The 25,148-nt window shown below is 47.6% G+C and overlaps 1 protein-coding gene across 12 annotated transcripts, besides 5 other annotated features; it reads right to left on the reverse strand.

Annotated features, from left to right (window-relative positions):
• Positions 1-568: 568 nt before the first annotated feature.
• Positions 569-19,178, reverse strand: DENND2D (DENN domain containing 2D). Of its 12 annotated transcripts, none has more exons than XM_011542190.3 (13): positions 19,090-19,178; positions 16,995-17,045; positions 14,223-14,398; positions 13,230-13,342; positions 12,520-12,589; positions 11,776-11,853; positions 10,516-10,656; positions 9,178-9,326; positions 6,740-6,917; positions 3,812-3,853; positions 3,302-3,386; positions 2,731-2,970; positions 569-2,281 (listed from the first exon to the last, which is right to left on the reverse strand). In XM_011542190.3, the coding sequence occupies exons 2-13, from the start codon at positions 17,023-17,025 to the stop codon at positions 2,205-2,207; spliced, it is 1,380 nt and encodes a 459-aa protein (XP_011540492.1). In that variant the 5' UTR covers positions 17,026-17,045; positions 19,090-19,178; the 3' UTR covers positions 569-2,204. The 12 variants fall into 12 exon arrangements, 11 of the variants coding, with proteins under 11 accessions (XP_011540492.1, XP_006710984.2, XP_016857877.1 ...); XM_006710921.3 differs by having other exon boundaries at positions 18,896-19,178; XM_017002388.2 differs by lacking the exon at positions 16,995-17,045 and having other exon boundaries at positions 19,122-19,178.
• Positions 1,905-3,104: an enhancer, noted in NCBI's record as "CDK7 strongly-dependent group 2 enhancer chr1:111729927-111731126 (GRCh37/hg19 assembly coordinates)". NCBI's record gives its function as "activates an origin of replication core promoter dependent on BRD2, BRD4, P300/CBP, MED14 and CDK7 cofactors, with strong dependence on CDK7, by STARR-seq in HCT116 cells {active_cell/tissue: HCT116}" and the evidence as "EXISTENCE:reporter gene assay evidence [ECO:0000049][PMID:35650434]".
• Positions 12,366-12,415: a silencer, noted in NCBI's record as "silent region_1181". NCBI's record gives its function as "represses an Ori minimal core promoter by ATAC-STARR-seq in GM12878 lymphoblastoid cells {active_cell/tissue: GM12878}" and the evidence as "EXISTENCE:reporter gene assay evidence [ECO:0000049][PMID:35858748]".
• Positions 14,878-15,047: an enhancer, noted in NCBI's record as "active region_1483". NCBI's record gives its function as "activates an Ori minimal core promoter by ATAC-STARR-seq in GM12878 lymphoblastoid cells {active_cell/tissue: GM12878}" and the evidence as "EXISTENCE:reporter gene assay evidence [ECO:0000049][PMID:35858748]".
• Positions 15,288-15,447: an enhancer, noted in NCBI's record as "active region_1484". NCBI's record gives its function as "activates an Ori minimal core promoter by ATAC-STARR-seq in GM12878 lymphoblastoid cells {active_cell/tissue: GM12878}" and the evidence as "EXISTENCE:reporter gene assay evidence [ECO:0000049][PMID:35858748]".
• Positions 18,468-19,307: a silencer, noted in NCBI's record as "silent region_1182". NCBI's record gives its function as "represses an Ori minimal core promoter by ATAC-STARR-seq in GM12878 lymphoblastoid cells {active_cell/tissue: GM12878}" and the evidence as "EXISTENCE:reporter gene assay evidence [ECO:0000049][PMID:35858748]".

Here is a 25,148-nt window from a genome sequence, read left to right on the forward strand (position 1 = left end):
GGACACAGGAGAAAAGATTTAAACTATTGGCTAAAATGAGGTGTCTTATTATTGATTTTCATCTATATCTTGTCCCATAATCAGGAATAAACAGTAGCTACACTGCCTTGTATGGCAGCCAGAGCGCTGCTTGCTTGCACTTTTAATGATTCCATCAATACCATGTAGATTGAATTAGCAAGGAGAAGTAAACCTTTCATTTCTTTGCCAGACTATATTGGGAAATGAAAATCCGTCATTACTTTTCCTTGCTAGCAATTGTTCGAATATCTGGGATAAAGAAATACATACAGGAAAATGTTAGGGCAGACCAAGTATTAAAAGCTAGGACAGAGCAGGACAAAGGAGGAAGGATAATTCTACTTGTTTGGCAAAGTTACATCAGTTGTCTTACTGACACATCAGGTACTATCTATAGTGGAAATTGAGGCCCGGAGAGGTTAAATGGCATGCCAGTGTCACTTGCTATTTTTCAGAACAAAAATTAGAATCCAGATCTGAATCCTGGTGCAGTGTTCTCTCCTATGCCCTACTGGGCTTTAGTGGGCTAAAGTTCTGAAGCAAGATGTTAAGGGCTAATTGAAATGTGTTTATTCTCCTAGATTCTTTTTCAGCATAGATGGAATCTGAAAAGCACTCAGATATTTAGTGTGTGCTTCCTTCAGCCCTAAATACAGCATTAGCATCAAATCAAGGGTACATTTGTAATAAACCTCAGCAAACCTTACCTGAAGAACCTTTTAAGAAAGTACAGATTTCCAGGTCCTATCACTAGAGATGATTTGGTGTATTTGTGATGAGGCATAAGAGGATATTTTCACAAGATTCTCAGGATTCCAGTTCCTGTTCTGAAACCTTTGGAGGTACAACTATATTTAGGCACCACTGCCATAAACTACCAAAAAAAAATGTAATTCCTAGAAGCTGTGAAGAATAGTAGTGTAGCTAAGCACGGTGTGTGGACAGTGGGACATCTGCCACCTGCAGTAGGTCTCTGCACTCCCAAAAGCAAATTACATTGGCTTGAACTTCAGTATGCCCGGTTCCACCCTCCAGAAACTTTTGTGTTCTTTGTATAGAATTTAGGAACTTCTGAGGGCCACAAATACACACATTAAAAAAGGTAGAATTTTTGAAGATAAGATTCTTCTAAAAAAGCTTCCCAATGCTTGAGTAGAAAGTATCAGTAGAGGTATCAAGGGAGGAGAGACTAGGTGACCACTAAACTCCTTCAGACTCTTAAAATTACGATTCTTTTCTCAAAGGGGAAGAACGTCAGTGCAGCGATCCCTTCACCTTTAGTTAAAGAATTGGACTGTGCTGCTCAAAATAAAGATCAGTTGGAGGTAGGATGTCCAAGACTGAAGGTAAAGGACTAGTGCAAACTGAAAGTGATGGGGAAACAGACCTACGTATGGAAGCCATGTAGTGTTCTTCACAGGCTGCTGTTGACTGAAATTCCTATCCTCAAATTACTCTAGACTGAAGCTGCTTCCCTTCAGTGAGCAGCCTCTCCTCCCAGGATTCTGGAAAGCACACCTGACTCCAAACCAAGGACTTAGATGCCCTGTGTCCAGTGCTGCTGCTGCTTTTACCAGTATCTCTTACCCTTCCGGTTAGAAGAAGTAGAGCTGCTGCCCCCCATGATTCTATCACTCCAAACATATCCCCATGGCCAGGTCTTCCACTTGTAGTCCACTTGATTGTCATATTCATTGCCTTATTTTCCACGAGGAAAATACTTTTACCCATAGTAAAAGCCAAAGACACATATAAAAATAAGATTTTCCTCTTTACTCTCGTCCTTACATGTCCACAGACTTCATGTAGAGAGGCTGAGCCTTTCGACCACAAAGTGTGTTCTGTGTTGAAGATGTTATAATGATGGGAGAGGGCAGTTGCAGCAGCTTCTAACCAAGTGTCTACAACACATGTACTACTGTTTCCTACCTGTGTCACCTCTGCAAAAAATGGAGCTCTGAGCCCAGTTCTGTGAGCATGGTGTCAGAGCCCTCCAAAGTCCTGAGAAATCAATACCAGGGATCCAAATCTCAGACACCAGTTTGAAGCAATACCTGGATACCAAGACTCAGAGTGAGGATATGGATTTTGGGAGCTGACAGTTTTGCTGATCCTGCCACACTGGCAGGGGCTGAAGTCCAGAAATGGTGTGTAGCTCTAGTCATTCTTATTCACCACAGCTCTTATTTCACAGTTTTTTCCCTTGGTTTCTTCTGTTTCTTCTGTTCCTCATATTCAAGTATTTTCTGTTGGAAATAGCCTGTGGGTTCAAATACAGGTGTTAGAGGCATCTGATCTGGTCAGGCAGATTATAATGAGCTCAGGAATAAGGATCAGAAATATCCTGTCTGCTCCCCATACTGCCATCCCTGCCAGGATGTCTCTGGCCTCACAGGTTCTGGAGATCCAGACATTCAGTTTTGTCCAAAAAGGAGCCCATAAACAGAGGATACTTAGCAGGAATTAGCTCTAGACTAAAACAGAGGAAAGGGCTCAGTCCTGTTCACTAATGGGTAAACCAACTTCCACAAAATGGCAGCCCATTAGACATTTTCTTAGGTTTCAGGTTATGTCATTTCAACTCCACTAATAAAAGTCTACCTACAGCTATTTTGTGGGTTTCTAAAGAGAAGTATTCTTTCTTTCCCCTCCTCTTTATTCTAGAGGTAACCCTCTATGGGCTTAGACTGATGGGGACTGTTACTGTACCTGCAGGAGGATTCTTGCTCTTCTCGGCTTCCTGGATGAAAAGTGAGAAGAGCTGTGTCTTCACAAACTTCTTCACAAATCGGCGGTTGGTCTTGGAGGTCAGAGCCTTACAGAAGGATCTTTCTTGGAAGTGGCCTTGCCCATTTGCCTCCCGCTTGATATAGGAAGCATAATGGCCCACAATCTTGACAAAGAACTGCACAAAGGGGCCTGAAACATGCTCGTTGATTTGTTCTGCAGCTGCAGGAGATATAAAGGCCATCTCAGAGGGTAGCAGAAGGATGAAATTACCCAAACTCACCTTCAAGAATGGCTTTCTTGCAGGCGGAAAGCTCCTGGGGAAAGCCATAGGGTAGGGTTCATAATTACTGACTGAGATGGGAATCTGGGTATGAGTTCTCTGCCATTGCTTAGGAAGAATACAATCCCAAATTCAGACTTGCCCTAGGTTCTAGGCCTCTAGGGCTGGTCTAGGACTACTGAATGAGTTCATTTTAGTTCTGGAAGGGAATGATTGAGAAGCATGCCCTTGCACTGCCTGGAGAGACCCAAAATAAGAGTAAGGACTTACTCTTTAACTCATTGATCCCCTGACCAAGAGAGTCTAAGATGTCATCCTGAAGCTTCGGTGGCAGGATGTCTTTTTCATCACCAACCTAGAAGAGGACAGAGCTCCGAGGTCAAGCAGGAAGGAAGTGTGGAGTGAAGGTGGTTGGCAGAAAAGCATAAGGAGGGCATGAATTCTACACCCCCACTCCACCCGCAAATAGCCACATAGGACAGAAACAACAGAAGCTGTTTCTTGGCCTTTAGTTTGACTCTAGACATTAGCAAGGGATCCTCTCCATCCCGGTGGTACTTGATTTATATCCCTTGCTTAAAAGGCACTATCACTGATTGTCTTATAGTGAAGTCATCTGTGTTTATGTCCATGGGCTCCTTGAGAGAGATGTGGTCTTTTTAGCACAGATTCTCACTCAACAAAGAACTTAAATGTTTGTTTAAATAAGTGGAACATGGATGAAACTAGAGTGGTAGAGTTGTTGATAGGCCTGCAGGGGATCTGAACCCAGACACTTACCGACATTAAGAAGGTTCCTTCACAAAGATTGACCAGCAGGACCTGAAATAAACATAGACTGGCTTTCTCTGGTCCTCTTTCTTCATAGACCCCCAGAGGATTTACCGTCTTGATTTCTGCCTGTGGCTGTATCTTTCAGCCCAGGTAGCAACAAAATCAATATCTTCAGTTCTCATTTCCTATCTAGCATTCTCCTTTCTCACCATTCCCCTCTGGAGATCTCAGTTCCATTCCTGAGGAAAGGGTGTGGGTGTTTGTAGGAAGGGAGTAGGAGAAAGAGCTAAGGTAGAAGGGAAATACAAGATGGAGAAATCACAGCCAGTCACTCCCTTAATAAAACATTGACTGCAGAAATTGCTTCTACATGGAGCATTTAGTACATTGTTCACATAAGTGCTTTACACGTTTGATCTCAAGCAACAGTCCCGTGAGGCAGATACAATCTCCATTTTGAAGATGAGGAAACAGACCCAAAGAAGCTGCCCGAGGTCATACTATGCTGCTAATAAGAGAACCAATTTTTTTCCAAGCCTAGACTGATATTCTTGAGATTGCATTCCTCTCTCTACAATTCCCCTTCAACTCCCTGCTCTCTAGAACAGAGACCAACATCTTTTTATTTTTTTCATGCTTGCAACATCTTATGTACAATTTTCTATTAGAAAAACTCCTGCCTCTCGTGGTGGCTCACGCCTGTAATCCCAGCACTTTGGGAGGCCGAGGCGGGTGGATCACGAGGTCAGGAGATCGAGACCATCCTGGCTAACACGGTGAAACCCTGTCTCTACTAAAAACGCAAAAAATCAGCCGGGTGTGGTGGCGGGCGCCTGTAGTCCCAGCTACTCCAGAGGCTGAGGCAGGAGAATGGCGTGAACCCGGGAGGCGGAGCTTGCGGTGAGCCGAGATCGCGCCACTGCACTCCAGCCTGGGCGACACAGCGAGACTCTGTCTCAAAAAAAAAAAAAAAAAAAACTACCTCACAGCTTTGGGCCTTCCAGCAGGAAACAGCAAAGGAAGAAAATGAGCCCAGGGTCAACAGGAAGAGGAAAGGAAAGGAAGTGAGGAGACCATGTGTCTACAGTCCTCAAGTGAGATAAGCACTGGGCTGGAACTTGGGGGACCTGAGTTTTAGCACTGGCCCCATCACTGCCCAGGGAGCCTTCAGTCTAGACCAGAGATTACAAATAGGCATCCTGCTGGCTGATTCCAACCAGCAGATCTGTTTCTTTGATCTTCACAGTATTTTTAAGTAATTGATTTGGTTTCCAATATTTAAACTGGACTATCTCACATAAAGTTTGGATTTGGGGCTTCTCCTGAAAAGTCAGGAGATCTAACACTGGGTCCACATTTCTAAAGGACAACACTCAGATGGAACTGAGTAGCAGTTGCCTGCTTTAGGCAGGGCATGTTCCCACCAGTTTACCGTAACTTCCCAAATCATGTATTGGTCATTTAAATGCCCGCTGGGCCTCTCTTTTCCATTTGTGACCCTTGGTCTTGATAGAGAGAATGATCCCTCCATTGTCCCTTCTTCCAAATACAAGGAGAGAGTGGAAAGTATGCCAAAAAATAGAGCATGCACTGTAATTATCTGTCATCAGGGGAGAAAAGTTGAACTAGTCCAGGCCTGAAACCACTTGTATACATAGGCTCAGATGCCTTCATGAAGGGAAGACTGTTCCTTTGAGGGATTGGGGGGAGAGAGTGTGTATAAATAATTTGTTTTTCAAGATTGTTCCCAGAAATCTTTCCAGTATTTGGGCATATTATTGTCTGTGGAGTAATCCCTTACCAAAAGCCAGAGTCTGACTGGCCATCAGGAGAGGAGCCACGGCTTCCAGGGAGCTGGAGCTGCAGAGTCAAGAAGTTTCATAATTTCTGGGGTTGGAACATTTAAATGTTTATTGCTAAACATGGGGCTAATACTCTGTCCCAGTTAGTCACAAGGCTAAAGCTGGTTCAAAGGGCATGTGTACTCAGCAGTCCTAAGGAAGGATGAGGGGGCCGGTGGAGCAAAGAAGGGAAACACAGCCTTCTTCTTTACTTTGCAGCAATGGTTTCTATAGGAGAGGATTTGGTTTTATCTGTGCTAGGTTCCACTGTTGTCTATGTGGCCTTGGATAAGTCTCTGGAGCTCAGTTATCTCTTGGAGTGAGTCAATGGTTATGGCCAGGGCAGACATTCCCAAGTCCCTCTTCTGGCTTGAGATACAGTAACATACTATCTTTTGAAAGTCCCTATACTGACAACTCTAAAGCACATGTTTTGAGTTATTTTTCCAACAGCGGGGATAGATTTACGCTTTTAATGCCCATTTTCACAACTGAGTTCTCTGGTGTGTCTGGTGCACTGCCAAGATGTAAGAAGCTAACAAAATCAAAGAGGATTCAGACCTATATCCTCATTAGCCACCTTAGCTCTGAGCTACTCAGAAAGATGACTTGCTGCAAAAATCTGCATTTTTAAGACTCATAGTTTGCCAGAGGGCCATGTTAGCTCAATTCCAAGGAATTCAAATACATTCCAGTGGGGTGTGTGTTGTATAGACCAGCTGTGTCATACATTTGGATGAGATGGGACACCCCGAAGACTGCTCATTAGGGCCAGCTGGCACAGAACAGTCTGCTCACCCCTGAATAAGCTATCCACTGCCCCTTATGCCTAAAGGGGAATCCTTCAGAAGGGAACCTGCATTTATTGAGCATCACCTGTGTGTCGGGTGCCAGGTTAGGAGCTCTAGGCAGGTGGTTTCCCCCAGAATCCTTAGGAAGTGAACACTGTTATCCCCATTTTAGAGATGAGAAAGCTCAGGCTTAAAGAGGTAAGGTAACTTGCCCCTAATCACACAGCTGTAAGCAGCAGAGCTGGGATCTGAATCCCACTCTACCTGGCTCCAAATCATGCACTCTTCTTGCCACATCATACCTCTTCCATAGGGCTGTCCATGACCTCCTGCTGGAAGCGCATTTGTACTCCAACCATGAAGGGGGTGGGGCAGCAGACGGTGGCCAGAAGGCTCTCAGGGACAACAGGGATGTAGGTGTGCGCCCAGCTGAAGGGGTAGAGCAGTGCGGCAGCAGCATGGATGCACTGAGACAAGGTGCTGGGACAGAGCACAGAGGATGAGAGTCAGGGGGCCCCTGCACCACCATGCTACACACCCCTCATCGCCCACCACCAACAGCAGCTAGAGCAGTGCTGCCCATGCCCATGGGCAGAAAGGCAAGTCTGGGGGCCATGCTGGTCACAGAGCTTGAACGTACATTGCTGGGAGGGAGGGACAGAAACTAGAGAGTCTGAGGCTTCACTATCAAGAAGGGCCTTGATTTGACCCTTCTTTTCCCAGTTAGTCTTCTCAACTTACTACTGGCCAAAAATAAAAGTGACTCTGAAGAGAAGAGGGAAGAAGAGTTGCTTTCATTCAAGGAGATAATTGATTGAGCCCCTAGCCTGTGCTCACAACTGTGAGCATACCTCACAGATGTGGATACCAGGAAGAGTAAGACACTGACCCTGCTTTTAAGGAATTCACAGTGTAGTTAAGAGACAAACATGTAAACAAGCACTGGAGGCTCAGCCGAGAGGCAAAGCCTTTTTACCTCGCTATGTCTATCCACCCTCATCCCCAGCCTTTGCCCCCACACAGCCCCCTCTGGGCACACTCGAGGTTATTAAAGATTACCAGGTTGCTGCCTGAGTAGCTTGGGAAATTCCCAGGTTCTAGGAACCTCTGCCCAGCAATTCCTACACGGAAAGTCCCACAAAGGTGCCTCCTCAAGACTTTCCAGTGAAGCATTTCTCGTCACTCCTGCCCAAGTCACAACTTGGACCCTACTCCTCTCGCCACCACATACACACAGTCCCACTCTCTGTCTTTCTCTTTTATCCCCTGGCTTTCATGGCTCTTCTTTACTCCAGCCAAATTGCCTCAAAGTCAAGGCCAATAAAAGCACAGATGCGGGAATCCTTGTTTCAGTTCTGGGTTTCAAGCTGGCACTTCCTGAATTAGCAAAATTGAGTCTCTGAGAGGCTAGCTGACTGGAAGTCCCCTCCCTGTCCGAGCTTCAGGGAGCTGAAAAACTCAGTGTGGGAAGGAAGTGGGGAGTGGTGGGATTTCCCTGAAGAAAGTAAACGTCTGAGAGGTGAATCCTGCCGACCTCCACTTCCCAAACACTGATCTGAGGAGGAAAGGCAGAATCCCAGCTCTAGCCACACAGGAATTTCTGGTTTCCATTCAAGGCTGGGAGTGAAAGAGCTATTTCCAAAGCAAAAGATGATGCCACTCCCTTCAAGGATTACCTACAACTAGTTCCTCTTTGGTTATCACCCATTTTTACAGAATCTTCAACACAGAGACCCCACTGCTTGCCCAAGTTTCCTTTCCTCTGAAACCCATGGCATTCACCTGCCCCTCTGACTTCTGTTGAGTCCCTAACATCCTTTTCTTCTTCCCTAAAAGATAAAAGCAGGGTTGTCAACCTAAAATCACTGGTTTTCTCCCTCCCCAGATATGAATAGAAGGTCTACCCCTACCCCTACTGTTTTATGACTTCTTTCATTCTCCATTCTATTACATCTCCCCACGTCCTTCTCAGATCTGAAGCCCCTAAAAGGTAGAGACCATGGCACAATAGTACCCTGCTTCCACTATACACAGGGATATACTCAACTGTGAACTTAAGAACAGAAGCTAGCACTCAGCAATATGTGCTCAGCAGGGTGTTAGGTACCTAATGTGCATTATTTCATTTAATCCTCACCACAACCTTATGAGGTAATCACAATCATTATTTCCATTTTTAAGAAGTTAACAAACTAACTTAATGGGAACCTCATAGCTAAAGGTAGAAGAACTGGATTTAAACCTCCTAATTCTGCTGATTTCAATCCCTGTGCTTTCAACCAGTATGTAATTCCGCATCCCCTTCAGGTGAAGGACCTTGTCCTGTTTGTATCTTCCCAATGCTTGGCATCTGGCAACCAGTTGACACACAATAAATGTTTGTTGAATGAGTATCTACCTCCTGCCCTGTTCTCCACCCTCCCTCAGCCTTGCAAGGGCAGAATCATGTCTGCATCCACCCTAACTGGTCCCACCCAGGCTGTCCCAGGAATACTTCCTGTCCTTCCCCAAGCTAAGTCAGGAGCATTCCTCAGGCCCAGGCAGCAGTCCTGTGTGGAGGAAGAGGCAGTGGGGGTGGTTCAAAACAGCTGTTTCTCTTGGTTTAAAGAACAAGGAGCTAGAAACAGGAGGGTGGGCGCATGGACCCTACAGCCCATTTTCCTTGGATAACCTCCAGTCTGTTCCCTTGAACCCAGGGATGCTGGGCAGTTCAGGTGAGCCGTCCAGGGGCTGGGCCCACCTGAGACCTTCCGCCAGGAAGATGATTTTTCTCTCCAGCACGGCAGAGGCAAAGATCTGAAGTATCTGTTCAAAACTGAGACAGTGCAATAGAGAACTAAAATCCACATGTTCTAGGTGGGAGTCCAGGGGCCGTGTCAGTGAAATGAACTGTGGGGAAACCAGAGAGAGAGAAGGTGTCACTATACTGCAAGATCATGCAGACCCCGAGGTGCTAGGCCTCTACCAGCCTCTATTCCTTCTGCCCCCAGGAGTGAATCTGGCCCTGTCTCTCTGTCCCCCTGCTAATTGGCTGGAGGACAGCACTGATGTGATCTTGAGTATGGCCCATAATGTCCTGCACCCTCCCTCACTCGCCTCCCCGAGCACACGCCCCTCTCTCACTGTGCTTCACCACATGGGCTTCTGTTCCTTGAGCAATCCCATCTTTCCTGCCTGCAGCCTTCACAGTGAGGGCCCTCCTCCTGCACTGCTCTGCTCCCTTCATTCTTACCCTCTTTCAGGTCACAGAGGCCCCCCTTTGGCCATGTGATACTTTCCCATCTTCTTATGTAGCACCCTGTTTTGTTTTTTTTTCTTTCATCACAGTTACATAATTTCTAATTCAACATGCACTGGTGTGTTTATTTAACATCTGTTCTCCCCACTGGACTTACAGCTCCAAAAGGTCAGGGACCACATTCATTTTGGTCACCACTGTATTCCCAGAAAATAGTATAGCTTGGCACACAGCAAGCATTAAGCACTTATTTTTTGAGAAAGTGAAAATTTCTAGCCTCTCCCCTTATTTTCCTGTGGGGAAGCCAAGGTTCAAAGGGGCACACAGACTATTCAGAGTTCCAGAGGACAGGACTGGAATTCTTAGAACAGTGTTCTACCTGCTGCCTCAGTGTGCTTGGTGCCTTAAAACGATAGCATTCCCCTGTGCATGGGTGGAGACTCGGAGGTGGGGATGGATGATAAGAAATGGACAGATGGACGCTGTAAGGTAGAGACAGGACAAACAAAGGAGAGTGGAAGGGGGGTAGCGGCAAGTGGCAGTCTGAGGGCTGAGGGAAAAGTCCTTTATAGCACCAGAAGCCTCAACTTACATGGTTTATTTATTATAAATAAAAGTCTTGGTGGCTTGAGCAGTAACTAGGTGCTTGTGGGTATCAAGTTAGAAGGATCAGAAAATCTGGGTTTGATTTCAGCTTTGTCCATTCTAACCAAGTCCCAGTCCCCATCTGGCTCAGTTTCTCTGTACTTTAACCTGGTTAATGGAAGAACAGTGGTGAGAGGTGCCACAGATGCCTACCCTCTCCAGCTAGGGAAGGTCTCACCCATTTTGCTAACCCACCTCAGTGCCTGAGTCGGGGATGAAGCTCTTGAGAGTGACAGTCTTCCCAGGAGCAGGGAAGGCTGCCTCTCGGAGGCCCTGCATGAACGGGTAGATGACAGCCATGGAGATCTGATGTCTCTTCTCCACTTCATCCAGGATCTGCAGGGAAAAGAACCACGGGAGGCACGGCTCAAAGGGACACTACCAGGCAGGTGGAAGAGACTCTACTTGCCCCTGAGCGTCATAATGTTCTCATACTGGTTCAGCTGATCCTCATGTATCTTCTAGGGCCCTCCACGAACTGGTCCTCTCCCTCCCTGGCAGAGGCTGGGCTCATGCTAAATAATCTGCAGTTTATCTCCCACATAAGACCTGCCTTCTTCCAGCTTCCTTTTTATTATCTCTCTACACATCCATATTCTTCCCCTCTCCTAACACCAACATAAAAGCACCTCCCTGGGAAGTCATCCCGGAGTAAACTCATCACCCATGATGGTACCATGTCCACTCATGCTGGTTGGAGCAGGAGGCTAGAAGGCTAAGCCTCTTGGTACCACTCTGTCCTCCAACTCCCACTGTAGATTCCCGAGGTCAGAGACTGCCTCCATCCCTAGGAGCACTGCACAAAGGAATGCTCTGCCCAAGCAAAAGCTGACAGAGTTTCCTCCCCTCCTCCTCCAAAGGTCCTGCTGGGGTCAGAGCATAATGAAGTCCTTTCTGGTCACCAGTGGATGGCATGGCCCCCATGGATTCTGCTCAAATTCTGTCTCAGATGCACTGGCACTCAAATTAGCTCCAAGAGAAGTCCTGGGGACCTCAACTGTTCTTCTACCCTTGAAGGAGTCAGAATGGGTCTTATAACTCCTTCATATTTGTTTAGTGCTCTGCCTTTTATAAAGAGTCTTCTCATATATCACCTCATTTAAGCCTCACGCCACCCAGTGAGATAGGAAGGTGAGATTATTATATCCATTCGACGGATGAGGAAATTGAAACTCAGGGCAGAAGTTTCTTCTGCTTGTCCTACTTCAACTACTTTCTTACTTGGCTAGAGTGGGAACAGTAGCTGTCTCTGCAAGAGGTCCAGTCCCCTAGATTCAATTTCCACTTTTCCCTTAAGTCAAGTGCATGCCCCTTTGCCTCAGTTTTCCCAAGTGTGCTTTAATGCTGACTCTGGCTATGGGAGAAGAGCTCCACTAAGAGCTTAGTTGCACAGGCAGGGTTGGCAGCCAGAGACAGCCTGGAATATGGGCAGGCCCTGAGGAATCCTATCCCTACCTTGGAGAACAAGCCGAAGCAGCCGATGCAGCTGATGATGCAGTACACTTTGGGAAGGCGAGGGCCAGGGCCGGCAGGCTGGGGAGGGACAGAGAGGCTCCTTCAGTGCTGCAGCCTCCCCAAGGGCTTCTCCCAACTGGGTATGAAGGAGCACAAGGCTGAGGGCTGGGGAGGGGGATTTATGGGGAATGGTGGGTGCAGCAGGGAGGTCAGAATGGCCACCAGCATCAAAAGAAGAAATCCTTGAGGGTACTGGGTGAGTTGGTGGGCAAGCGCTGCCACCTTCAGTGCCAGCACAATCTGGGGTCAGCAAAGAGGGGTAGCAAGTGTGCCTTAGAGATGAAGAAATGGCTAAGGAGGAAAGCACTGTAAAGGTGACTTGGGGAATCCTCCTGAGACCTAAGATTTGAAACTAATTGTCCAAGTCCCAGCCTCTGCTCTGGGAGGCTCCAGGGGCCAAGGTAAGCAGGCCTGGATAGAGCAGGCAGGGAGAGGAGTTAGTTGTATTGAAAGCCAGAGAGAGCACAGACCAGAGCCTGACCAGCAGCGGGAGAAGGGGCATCAGGTCCTCGTGCTTGTGGGGCTGCAGAGGGAGCACTAGCATGGCAGCAGGTCCTGGGCTGTGCTTTTTCTACAACCAGTGCTGCCAATAAGCCCGGAGTTTTGCAGCTCAGGCTTGAGCAAGCCCAGCCGTGGAGCTGAGCAGACTGCAGAAAGGAAGGGGCAGTTCTGAGCTGCACAGACCAAGAGGCGCCTGCAGTATCCAATCTTTCTGCTCCCATCCACATTGGTCAGAACGAAGGAGAAGGTCTCCCTAAGAAAGAGCAGACAAGGCTTGATTTGTATTGCTCACTGAATCCTAAAACAGGAAAGTGGTCAGCACTAGAGGGTGGAGAGGAGGGCAAAGGGGAGTTGCTGATTAATCACAGGAGTAAGGGCTCACTGGTGTCAGGCCCTAAACACATCATCTCATCTAATTGTCAAAACAACTCTTTGAGGTAGGTTCAGTAATTATTCCCACTTTAAAGATGAAGGAACTGAGGCCAGAGGGTGCTTCTTATTCAAGGTCACTCAACTCATAAATAGTGAAGTCAAAGCTCAAGCAGTCAAATTCCAGGGCTCATGCTAGAAGGGCCTTTGCTACGTCGCCTTCTTGGAGGCTAACTGCTTTCTGCTAAGTCCAGCTTGGGCCAGTAGCAGAGTTAAAAGCAGCAACTATTGCTTCTAGGACAGGTGGGAGAATCTGGCTCTTTGGACAGAAGTGACTGATCAAACTGATAGCTCATATTCTTGGCCTTGAGGGACCCCAGGCCAGATGTTTTCAAACAAATCAATTACACTCCCAGGCCGAAAATCAACAAATGACAGCAGTGAGGGAGGCTACAGGAGCCACAGAACTCACACATGTTCCTTCTCCCCAAATCCAATACCCTTGCCCAGGGCTGAGCAATTACCTGGGATACTCGGTGAGTGATGCCCACTCATTCCCATCTGGGAAGCAGAACAAGGGGATAGCTTTGAGCAGCCGCTCCTCCTCCTCCTGCTGACCCCGAAGCAGGTTCTCCCGCTATAAGGCAAAGGAAAAGACAAGTGGATGTGAAGCTGGGGGCAGAGATAGCAGGAGACAGCTTCAGAGCTGGTGGGCTTCCTTTGAGGCTCTAAAGCAGTCTAGGGTTAAGCTTCTCCACTAGCATAGGGGCGAAGGGTGCCTTTGCCCATGACTCTGCACAGTTTGCATTCTGGGTCCAGTTGGAACAACTCCAAAGCTGAAACAGCCCCTCCTGGGTCAACTCTACATAAGCTTGAGTTCGACCTCAGTATCGAGATCTACATAGAAAGGGGACAGGGCCATGTTGAATATAGAAAGGCCCTGAAATGGCCCAGGCCCCTGGGAGGACAACATCAGAGAGGTACCACATCAGAGAAGAGAAGCGGCCAGCTCAGTTGGCACACCTGCTAATGAGAAGGCTTCCCAACCCTCTACCTGGTGAAGGATCAGACAAGGAGTCTAATGCTTGGGCTCGGGCAGAGGGCTGTGCCTGCCCACCAGTTACAAGGCTGCCCCACTCTTTCCTTCCCACACATCCCAGAGAGGGGATTCATTCTAGGAGTTCTGGCAGAAGGTAAGCTTCTCTGCAGAGAAGGGTGACTGAAAATGGGATTTGGAAGACCTATCAGGTCCCCTAAAAGGCAAAATGTCTAGCCTAGTTTCCCTGCTAGGAAGCCTAGGTCAGTCCCTCACAAAGAAGTTAGACCTAGATTCTGTGGGTGATAACAGAGAACTGGGGCTGTGCTAAGAAGGAAATGGAGAGCAGTGAGCTCAGAGCTCAGGGCAGCTCCAGGCTCAAGCCCCGGTAGGGTAGGGAGAAGGAGGTGGAACCCCCACCCCTACCACCTTCCAAACACCCCAGTCCTCTGGCTGGCCCTGCCCCTCCTTCAGTCCTTACCTTGGGAAATTGGTAGGTGATTATAGGCTCGTAATCATCCTCTGAACGCTTCTTTTTGAGAGAAACCACAAGAAGGTATTCAAAGAAGTGCTGCCCCCCAGCAAAGTTGGGCAAAGAGTGCTCCTGGGCCCTTTCTGGTTCCTTTAAAGCTTCCCCTGAATTGTCCTGGGGTGGTCCTGAAATCAAGCCAGAGCCCATTTAGTATAATCTCATTGATCCATTCCTGGAGTGGAGTCTGTGAGAATCCGGGTGACCTCCACACCTCAAGGCCGCCTTGCCAATGCTGAGATACCTGGATACTGGCCAGAACCACCAGTCACTCAGGATCAGGGCCAAATGGGCAGTTTCCACACCTGCCCTGGTAGACTTGAAACCATGGGGAGCCAAGCAGAGGAAAGAAACCACTGACACAGAAGCCACGGAAATGTGCTGGAGAGGCCACATGGAGGCCAAGGCCCCAGGGTACCACAGAGACTGCCTAACCTGTCGGGTGCTTCTGGCAGTCCTGGAACAATATGGCCTGAGAGTTTAGTTCATACTAAGTGAATAAGAACAGGCTCAAAGGGCATGTGACTGTGACCACACTAGCCCCAGAGAGGGCATGACCAGCTCTTAAAAACCAGCAGAGGAAGCCTCCTGACCCAGTCACATGGGGAACCATGTGGAGGCCGAGATATAAAGGAAGAGGAGGAAGGAGCATTTCAAGGAAGAAACAGTCCCGCCTAAGAGGGTCACCCTAAAAACAAGGAAGTAGGCAGTCCAGTCCTGACCTGCTCGGAGTTGAAGCAGTCGGCGTTGGAAGAGCCTGAACACCCGGCCTACCACTTGTCCTTCCATCTCTGGGCCTTCAGGACAGAGCGGACTCCCCTCTCCCCTAACACAGACAGACTGGTGACAGTAAGCCTGAGAAAGGGGCTGCTTCGGTCTCCAGCCACAACTCTGTGAAGCCAAGCCACGCGCTGTCTTCCAGAGAGGGAATAGAAGTTTCCATCCTGTGCACCCAGTGGTTGAGCAAGAAGGATGTGACGGGACCCAGGAAGGCAGCAGAAGCCAGCACCAACAGAGTCAGCATCCTGGCACTGCAGCGCAGATCTCAGCTCCTCCCAAGAGCCCCAGGGTGTGGCGAGAGAAAAGGTCATGAGCAAACACCTCTGGCTGAAAGTAGCCGGAAAGGCCTGGCTACTTATGGGCTAAGGGTTTTGAATCTGGGCTGCAGATTGTGCAGAGAGTTAATTTACAACCTTAGAACAGTGGACAATGCTTGATAGTGTCAGACTGTGGGCACTGGAAACCGGCTGGTCTCAGGATAGGGATCCTATACCTCCAACACTTGGATTGCTGACCTTTCACTTCTCAACTTGGTCAACGGAAGTCAAAAACCCCAGCAAGGCCACCTGCTGAATTCTAGAACTTCCAGGACTTCCCGACCTAGAGCACATGGCCAAACACTTTCTGCAGCCAGGATGTCACTGCCCTCCCCTGATTAAGATAAATAGACTTGGCCTAATAATTATCCAAATAGATTAATTCTTCCAACAAAAGAAAGAGTTCTGGAAGTCAATACCCAATAGCCTTCTTTCCTGATGGTGCAGTAGAGAGCAAAATCCATCTCTAAGCCCAGAGTTCGTGATATTTTGGAAATAGCTACAATGGTGAATTTCACCCCCTGGAGAGTTCTGTCACTGGCACTTGTTCCAGGGTTCCAGCAGAGTCCCTCTTCTCAAATAGGAAGCACTGGCTCAGAAGACTGTCCCCAGCATAAGGTAGGGGACTGATTGCACCAGCAGCCTGAGGGTGATTCCATGGCAGTGGAAAACATCTGGGTGATCTCCACCCAACCCCCACGCCTGCTCAGCCTTCCTCCGGGTCAGGCCAGGTCAGCTGTTCTGCCCAAGCTACAGGCACAGCTGCTAGCCCACTGCTGTGTCTGGAGACTAGGTAAGAGAGAAGGAATAGCAAAAAAATCACCTTGGATTCTCACAGAAACCCCTGAATGAGTAAATACAGGGAAGGCTTTTACCAGGAAGCTGCCTCAAAGGGAAAGCAGGGGGCAAAAGGGTTTGACGCCAGTGTTTGCCACTCCTGCTAAGAATAAGCACCCCTCTGGAAGAGAGTGGGGTGCTAGGATAGGGAAAACAGCTGCTTTGCTCCTAAGAGCTCTAGACCTGGCTTCTGTGGGACTAGAAAAAGCCAGGACTCACGGCCAAACTCATGTACAGTAAAGAAAGATGTTCAAATGCTGTAATGGGTGAGAAGAGCGAACTAGAACACTTGGAGCTGGCACCACACCTTACTTGCAAGCTGCACAGACTTGTTGCACAAGCCTTACCACCTGTTTGAGGAACAAGCATCTTCCTGATACAGATGGGGAAACTGAGGCATAAAGTAATTCAAAGGCTATTAAAATTGACAGGATTTGTTGGGAATGGGGATTAGGAAAGCTCCAAATCCATGCTCCTGCCTTCTGGATGCATTTGACATCAAATACCCCACAGAGGTTTTCAAAGGACATTGAGAAACAGAATCTTATCACTGATCATTCCAGATTCTAATGAAATTATGCCTTTCCCTAAATCCTTTGGGCTGCGTTTTCAGATCATTTTCTTCTGCTTTATCAAGCAAGCCAAGAGAATAGCAAAATTAATAAATCATTGACAAAAGAAAGTAATTAGACTTTTGGGATGAGGCCCAAGAAATGCAGCAAAAGACTGTTTTCTCCCCTCTTTCAAAAGGTGTTATCCACAGGAGAGAAAAGCGTAAGAGAAAACTAACCTCCATCAAACTCATGTTTCATATAAGGCATCTCATTTAATCTCCAGTGCCCTAGAAAGGAATTATTATTCAGAGTTTTAGTTGAGGAGGGAGCCACCCTTTCTAGGGAAGTCAGGAATCTGGTTACACTTGTTCCTCCACCAGAAAGCCTCTCCCACACACACCTGACTGAAGTCCCAGATCTGTCTAGAACATAGGTGAGGGGACCTTCTGGAACCTTGATCTGGGAAGCTGGCCCATCCCTTCCAGCTCAGCTGCTCTCAACCCAGGACCACCACCACATCACTCCTTGTCACCAGGATACACACACACACACACACACACACACACACTCCCTCCTAATACACAACTGTCCTGGGGCCAGAAAGGCAAAGGAGGAAGGGGGAGAATCCCCAGGCAAGTGGAGGATGGTATGGAAGATGAAGAGGGCATATGCTCCTGGCCCTACAAGTGTTAGGCCTCAGTTCTTACAGTTCCTCAGTATCAGGAAGCTCCTCCAGGCACAATCAGGAAGTGCCTGGTGTTGGGGCAGGGGTGGGTGGGAACAACTGGAATGTCTCCTCTGGGCTGCAGGGGGCAGACCCCTTCCATTCACACAGATGTCCCAGGGTCTGGGAAGACCAGGACAGACCAGGCCAGTGCTCTCCAGAGAAGAGAGAATGTCAGCCTCATCCTGCCTTCTGCTCCCACCACTGCACGGTCCCAGGCCTCTGCCCCAAACTGTGGTCTCTGACCTCTCCCTGATGGTGCAGATGGAATGGCCAGATATTGGAGATCTGTGTCTAGAGAGGACACTACAAAGAGGGAAGGAGCAGGGTGTGGCAGGAGGAATGGCAACAGGAGGAAGAGCAGATCACTCAGAGGTCACTGCAGTTCAAAGAAGGGTGCACTGACCTCACTCCCTGAGGTCCCCCCAACTCTGGGGCTTGGGCTAAGAGAGGGGCTCACTTGGCCTCCTGGCGTGCCAATGTTGGAAAGGGCAGGTTGTCTGGGAATGGCCCCTGCTCTTTGCTCCTCAGACAGTAGGACCTCTGGGCAAAGTATCTAAGGGTCACGGCTGTTCAGCCATAGGACTGGCTAGTGGTAAGCCACACAAATATTTGCCGAGTGAATGAATAAATGAATGAATTTCTAACTGCCCTCCTTCCAACCCCAGGGCTCTGCTAAGAAAGAAAAGAAGGTGCTTCTTTAACTTAGAAGTTGACTTCTAATTTAATCCCCATAATCCTGGACGGGGGAATTATGTCCATTTCACTGTTGCGGGGCTGAGGGAAAGGGAAGGGGTGCCCTGTCTGGGCGACACGCTGGAAAGCAGCAGCTGCGCAGGTTCTACCGCCGCTCCGCTGGAGGCCACACTCTGAAGGGCACCTGGCCGAGGGTGGGTGGGGGTGGTAACGTCATCGGGGAGACCTGTGTTTGTGGCCGGTGGCTATCTGCTGGGCAGGGGCAGGGGCGCTGGCTCCGAGGAACTGGGCAAAGACCACGGAGGACTCCCAGGGCGGCGAGGTGGGGCGGGGCGGCGGGCACGCCGGGAGCTGAGGCAGTGCCTCTGGGAGGACACCACAACCGGGGCGCTTTCAGGCACACTGCGGTTGCACCACAAGCTTCCTGGATGGAAGGACACGTGGCCCCGGGGCCCCACAACGGCTTCCTGTGTCCCGCCGCCTCCCCCTCGCCCCCTCAGGCCTGGCCTCGCCGTCCCCGCCCCCACCTGACCCTCTTCCCCTCTCCGCGCGCTCCTTCCCGCTCACCTGCCCCCGCGCAGCCTCCTGAGTCCCCTTCCAACTGCTCCCGGATCTCGACGCCCCGTGCCGCCCTCCACCGGGCCCCAGCCGCCAGCCCTAGCCCCGGCTCCCCGGTGCCCACGCCGTCCCCCCGCGCTCTCCCCGGCCGGCACTAACCCCCATGGCCGCGCTTCAGTCTCAGGCTGGCTCGAAGGCGGCGGCCGAGCCCATCCATGGCCCCTGGAGTGCCCGGCTCCCGCTCCCAGCTCCGCGCTGGCCCCGCCCCCCTATCCTTGACCTCCGCGGGTCCGACACTTTCACTTTCACGCGGGGGGAGGCCTAGGGGACAGGTTCGGGGCGGCGCGGCGCACCTTCCGGACTCCGGCCCAACCCCCGGGCGCACCTGGGCGGGCCCGCTCTGCCCTCGCCCTGGGCAGGGCAGCGTGGGGTGGAAGAGGGCGCTCGACGCGCGTCCGGGACTGGGCGGCGCCACCTCGTTCCCACCCTCCGTGGGGCTCCCGGGGAGGCTTGACTTAGCGAACACCCTGCAGTCCGCAAAAGCGCATGTCCTGGCTGAAATCACCGTCTTCCAGGTGGCCCCAAACGAATCCCAAAAGGGGCAGAGTTTTCAGTCCTCACACCTCTCCAACCCCTCCACCTCTCCCTTTGCAACTGCTTTAGCCCTTCGACCATCTCCAGGTCTCTTGCCCTACTTGTCCTCTCACTCTCGGAGTTCCTGAGGAGGAACTGGAGATGCGGATTAGGGACCTGTCGCTGCCTTCCATTCAAACTTGGCCTTGAGCAGACCAGCAAAATGGGGGTAACCCCTGCCATTCCACAGAAATGTGAAAGTTCAGGAATAGAAAACTCTTTGTAGGTTGTTACATAATACAAATTTAAGGGACTGTTATTGTCATAATTGTTGCAGCTGTCCCCTCTCCCCTTCTAATCCTGAATTTCAATGCAGCCTTTCCGCTCCTCCCTTTTCACATCTTCATTGACTTCCAAATACGTCCAGGCTGTAAACTTCAGGTATCAACCATGACATTGTGGGTCTGCTCAGCCCACTTCCTCCTGGGAGATCTGCCCTAGTTCCCCGCTCCCTCTCAGGACATTATCTGTAGGGCTGGGAAGTGCAGAGTCCATCTGGGGTTGCTTGGTTTACAAGGTTTTAGGGTCCTTTTCAGGAGAGGTAGGCAGAGGGAAGAAGGGACTCTGGCAGAAATACGTCTGGAATCTGTTGGCCTGACTCCCAGACCTACAGCCCTCTTTCCATGGCCTCCAGGTGACTCTCCAGTCACCATGGGAGAGCCGGAATTGGGAATCCAGCCCTAGTATTAACTGTCTGGTCTTAGCCCAGAGGTTCTAAAAGTTGACTTTACTCCGGCCGTATGCAATTTTGCACTTAATTACAGTCTGTTTCTGTTCCCTATTCTTTGTGTATTCCCTCACACAAGTACACTTCCCTTCCCCAAGTACCTTTTCTGGGCTGAACCCATGTCTTATGCATCTCTGTGTAAGAACAGTCGTTGCTCATGATAAACTTGTCCAATTGATTGAATATTATTGTGCCTTAACTTCCCCGATCTATTTTGTGGTATTCCCAACCAAACTAACTTCCTTTCTTTAAAAACAGATGAGGAAAACTGTGTACATGTGCACCAAAAAGATAAGTACAAGAATGTTCAAGGGAGTCTTATTTGAAACAGACTCACGCTGGAAATAACCTCAAATGTCTATTAATAGTAAAGTGAGTAAATCGCAGTATATTCACATAATGAAGTACTACATAGCAGTAAAAATAAATAAACCACTGCTGCATGCAATAACATGGCTACATTGCACAAACATCATGTTGAGAAAAGGAAGCCAGACACAAAAGAGTACATTATGTAAGAGTCCATTTGTATAAAGTTTAAAACAGGTGAAATTAATCTATGGTATGAGAGGTCAGAATGGTGTTACCTTTAGGGAGGAAGGAGGAAATAATGATTGGGAGAATACCATAGTGTTTCTAGGATGCTGATAATGTCCTGTTTCTTAACCAGGTGATAGATACATGGATGTATTCACTATGTGATCGTTCTTTGCAGTGAACACTTAAGCACTTCTCTATATGTATATGAGACTTTAAAAAGATTTTTAAAGTATTCGTTAGGATGTTAGGGTGACATTAATGAAGGTAATGAAACAGGAAGAAGTTAGTTCAGAATAAAACTAGAAATTATTGGGATGGGAGGAAGTGGAGCTAACTAAGTATAATCTGCATTTTTGAGAAGTGTGGATAATAATAGGAACAAGTTAATTGATCCATAGTGGAAAATTTGGGTTTAAAGTGATGGGTTAAGATGGCGAAGATGAGAGCATATTATGGGTATAGCAATGAGAATTAGCAAGGGTAGACATTTAAAGTATAAGAAAGAGGGTGTGCAGATGGAGCAGCGTCTGAGAGAAGGTGGGGGGCAATTAGAAGCTTAGGTAGAAGTTTGGCTTTAAATGGGAAAAGGAAACTTTTTTTTTTTTGAGACAGAGTTTCGTTCTTATTGCCCAGGCTGGAGTGCAATGGCGTGATCTCAGCTCACTGCAAACTCCACCTCGCGGGTTCAAGCGATTCTCCTGCCTCAGCCTCCTGAGCAGCTGGGATTACAGGCGAGCACCACCACACCCGGCTACTTTTGTATTTTTAGTAGAGACAGAGACGGGGTTTCACCATGTTGGTCAGGCTGGTCTCAAACTCCTGACCTCAAGTGATCTGCCTGCCTCAGCCTCCCAAAGTGCTGGGATTACAGGCGTGAGTCACCGCGTGTGGCCGGGAGAAGGAAACTTTATCTGAGGGAAAAAAAAGATGAAAATGGCTATAGATGTTGATAAATGTGTAGATAAGGTAGCAAGAAGTTAAAGGATACCACAGGAGGCCTCAGTTTCTGCTAAGACAAAAGGTTCTTTTTCTTCTTGTAGCTGCCATCTTCCACTGTCCCCTGGGTCATTCTCCTAGTCTGGCTGTAGAGTGGAAGTGAACGACCCTAGCCTTCCTTTTTTGAAGGTCTTGAAAGGAAGCACACTAATAAGTTGTATTCAAGGAGGCAGTCAGTATGACATAACAGAATGAGCCTGGGCATCTGACACAGACGAACTTGGACCTGAACCCACTCTGCCTCTTGTTTGCCCTGTAGCCTTGGGTTAGGCTTTGCACTGAGCCTCACTTTTCTGATATAATAAAATCACCTTGCAGGGCAGTTGTGAGGATTAGAAAGAATATATTTGTAATAAAAATGCCAAACTTCATACATACCTTTAATCCTCAAATCACTGTAGTCTCAGCTCCATTTCTTTTAATTGCAGAAAGCACTGTCTATTACCAGGCTTGTATCTCCAGGAATTTCTGAGAAACCTCAAGAAACACACACTCCAAAGACCAATTCTGATATTCACTGGTCATTAGGGTCCATCATGGGAATTCAAACTATTACTTTCCCTTCCACAGTTATACCCATTTGTCTGAAGACATACTGCTATTGTTCTCCCCTGTGCCACACTGCCCAACTTGGACAATGATTCTATCTTCAATTCCATATAGAGATAGCTGAGGTCAGAAGAGGTTTTGTTAAGACTTAGCTGAAGGTTTGTTAAGACTTTGTTTTATGATAAGAGAAGCACGTTATAAAAGGAAAACTTAAACACAAAGTATCACCACTCTTGGGGTCTGTATGAGGGTCCTCTTTGGAGTACTTCTCTCCCTACCCCTAGAGCTGCCCCCATCTTGCAGGGATCAGCTAACCTGACTCCAGTGGGAATGCCCTTGAACGCAGCCCTGTCTCAGTATTCGCATATTCAAGAATGACTGACAAGAGCGATGTTTATTACATTCACGGGGAAACCCTGTCCCATACTTAGAACCTAATATCTTTTGGCACAGAGATACCAGAACAACAACAAAAACAAAAGCAACCCATATTTCCCCAAGAATAGGCCCATCAATACAGAATGCCACCATCAATTGGCCTGCACAATTCCTCTTCCTTTGAGATGAACAAAAGCTCAAGCTGTCTCAAACTGTGTATACTGCAAGCCATCTGAAATTTGGCTTCTCATCTCCTGTGAGAAATGAGTTGAATAACCTACCCATCTTCCAGAAACAAGCAATGATATCCAGGATTAGGAAAGAACATCTGTATATTAGAAACAAAGATAGCCTTTTCTGTTACCACAAAGAGTTCCTGGAGTTAAAAAGTTCTCAAATCTCTGTCTCCTATAAAGGGTCTCTGCTCTATATTTGATAGCCAAAATCTTCTTGTATTCTCTTTCTTCCCAGTCTTCTAAAGTGCTAAGTTTTCAATCCCAACATTTTGTGTGTGTTGATCCCTCTGCTTGGAATCTTCTTCCTCCCACTCCTCACTCTACTAACTTCTACTCATTCTTTATATCTTGCTTAAACGAACTTTTCTGAAAAGACTTCTTTGACCACCTCCCCTTTCCATCTAAATCAGATCCTCCTGTTACAACCTCAATCACACCGTTTCCTTAGGAGCATTTATAGCCATTTGAAGTTACATATATGTATTTCTGAGATTATTTGTTCGACTACTCTCTCCCTTTCTAGAGTCATCCCCAGGAGGCATGAGTCTTATCTCTTTCACTTACTTCTGTGTCCCCATTTCCTAAGCACAGTGCCAGGCATACGTTAGATAAACAGTAAATATTTGTTGAGTGAATAAATGTATGAATTAATAGATGGGTAGTATGCAGAAAGCTTCTATCTCTAAGGAGACAGAAAATTAATTTAAACATTTTTTTATTTTCTGGGTTCTACTCAGGGCAAACACTTTGGGTGCCTAAGACTCATTTCCCCTTTTACCCTTGCTGGATATATGGATATATTTGCTCAGAGGTATATCAGATGGTGGAATCTGATCGTGGTAGTCCTGGTCTCCTTCCCCCAGGTTGACTCATGGTGGCCATGTGATCCAGGTGTGGCCAGTGAGAGGTAAGGAGGTATCTAATCTAGTAAGGGAGGCAAGAGGCAATCTCCTAGGGACTTCTGGGATAGGATTCTCCAGAAGTGATGCTGTTTCCCTGCCTCTGGGCATCACTGGGTTTGGATATGATGACAGGAACTGGTGAGATGAAGCCAGCTTGTATAGCAGAACAGGGACAACAGGCTCTCAGGGTAATGGGGCAGGAGTCAGGGATGGCATGTCAGGCCTGAAGCTGCCTTCACTCTGCACTGCTTGTTACCTGAGGTAATAACTCTCCTTATGGTTTAACACAGTGAGCCTTCTAAATACATTTTACATGGCATCTCAGTGCCATGTAACATACACACATGTAATATACAAATAAAAGTTTCACAAAACAATACCATTCCTACTATGTGCAAGGTATGCTGATATTTCTCCTTTTTCTTCCATTCTACTATTGCGCTTTTAAAACCATCCTTGTTTGAGGCACCTTAAAATTATTTCACCCCCAAAATGTGTTGTGACCCACAGTTTAAAACATCTTTGGGTTTTCTGGTACTTTTTCTGCACACTCTGAAGCCAGACTATCTGAGTTGGTGTCTCAGGTCTGCCAGTTACTAGTTTGGTTACGTCAGGCAAGTTTCTTAACCTCTTTGTGATTCAGTTTTTTCATAACTGATAGAATAATAATGGCATCTACCTTACAGGGTTGTTTTAAGGATTAAATGAGCTAATATATCTAAAGCGCTTGGAATGGGAAGCCATTGGCAAGTCTGAACACAAGACTTACATGATCCTACAAAGATGAGTAAGGCATGGTCCTTGTTCTCACAGAGTTTGCATTCTTGCAGGAATAATATAATGCAGAGATACTGGGATTAAGATAAGCACGGGTAGTTCAAGATCATGAAGGAGAAACACGCATTTTAGCTTAAGAAATCAAGTCTGATCTCCAGTAGGTAAGTCTGGGAGATAAAATCTCACTCACTTTTTTTTGTTAACTAATAGACTAGTTTTAGATTTACAGAAAAATCGAGCAGAAAGTACAGAGAGTTTGCACATATCCCCTCACCCCACCCCCATATATAGTTTTCCCTATTATTAACATCTTGCATTAGTGTGGGACATTTGTTACAGTTGGTAGAACAACATTGATCCACTATTAACTGAAGTCCATCATTTACATTAGGGTTCACTCTTTGCTTGTACATTCTATGGGTTTTGACAAGTGTACAATGACATGTATTCACCATTACAGTATTATGTGGAATAGTTTCATTGCCCTAAACATCCTCTGTGCTCCTCCTATTCACCCCTCCTTCCCCTGTCCCACTCCAAAACACTGATCTTTCTACCGTCTCCATAGTTTTGCCTTTTCCAGAATGTCATATAGTTGGAATCATACAGCATGTAGCCTTTTCATCATACAATATGAAGCCTTGCGTCTTTTAATTAGAAATGTGTATTTATCT

The sequence above is a fragment of the Homo sapiens genome, chromosome 1 (assembly GCF_000001405.40).
Source record: "Homo sapiens chromosome 1, GRCh38.p14 Primary Assembly".
In the NCBI taxonomy this organism is placed as follows: domain Eukaryota; kingdom Metazoa; phylum Chordata; class Mammalia; order Primates; family Hominidae; genus Homo; species Homo sapiens.

Bases quoted from the DNA above. Each gene is read 5' to 3' on its own strand.
- DENND2D (XM_006710921.3), bottom strand. From the start codon at position 18,953: ATGGATGGGCTCGGCCGCCGCCTTCGAGCCAGCCTGAGACTGAAGCGC. The intron at 17,046-18,895 runs GTTAGTGCCGGC...ATTCCTTTCTAG, and splicing joins ACTGAAGCGCGGCCATGGGG to GGCACTGGAGATTAAATGAG. The intron at 11,854-12,519 runs GTCTGTGCAGCT...GTCCCTCCCCAG, and splicing joins GATACTGCAGGCGCCTCTTG to CCTGCCGGCCCTGGCCCTCG.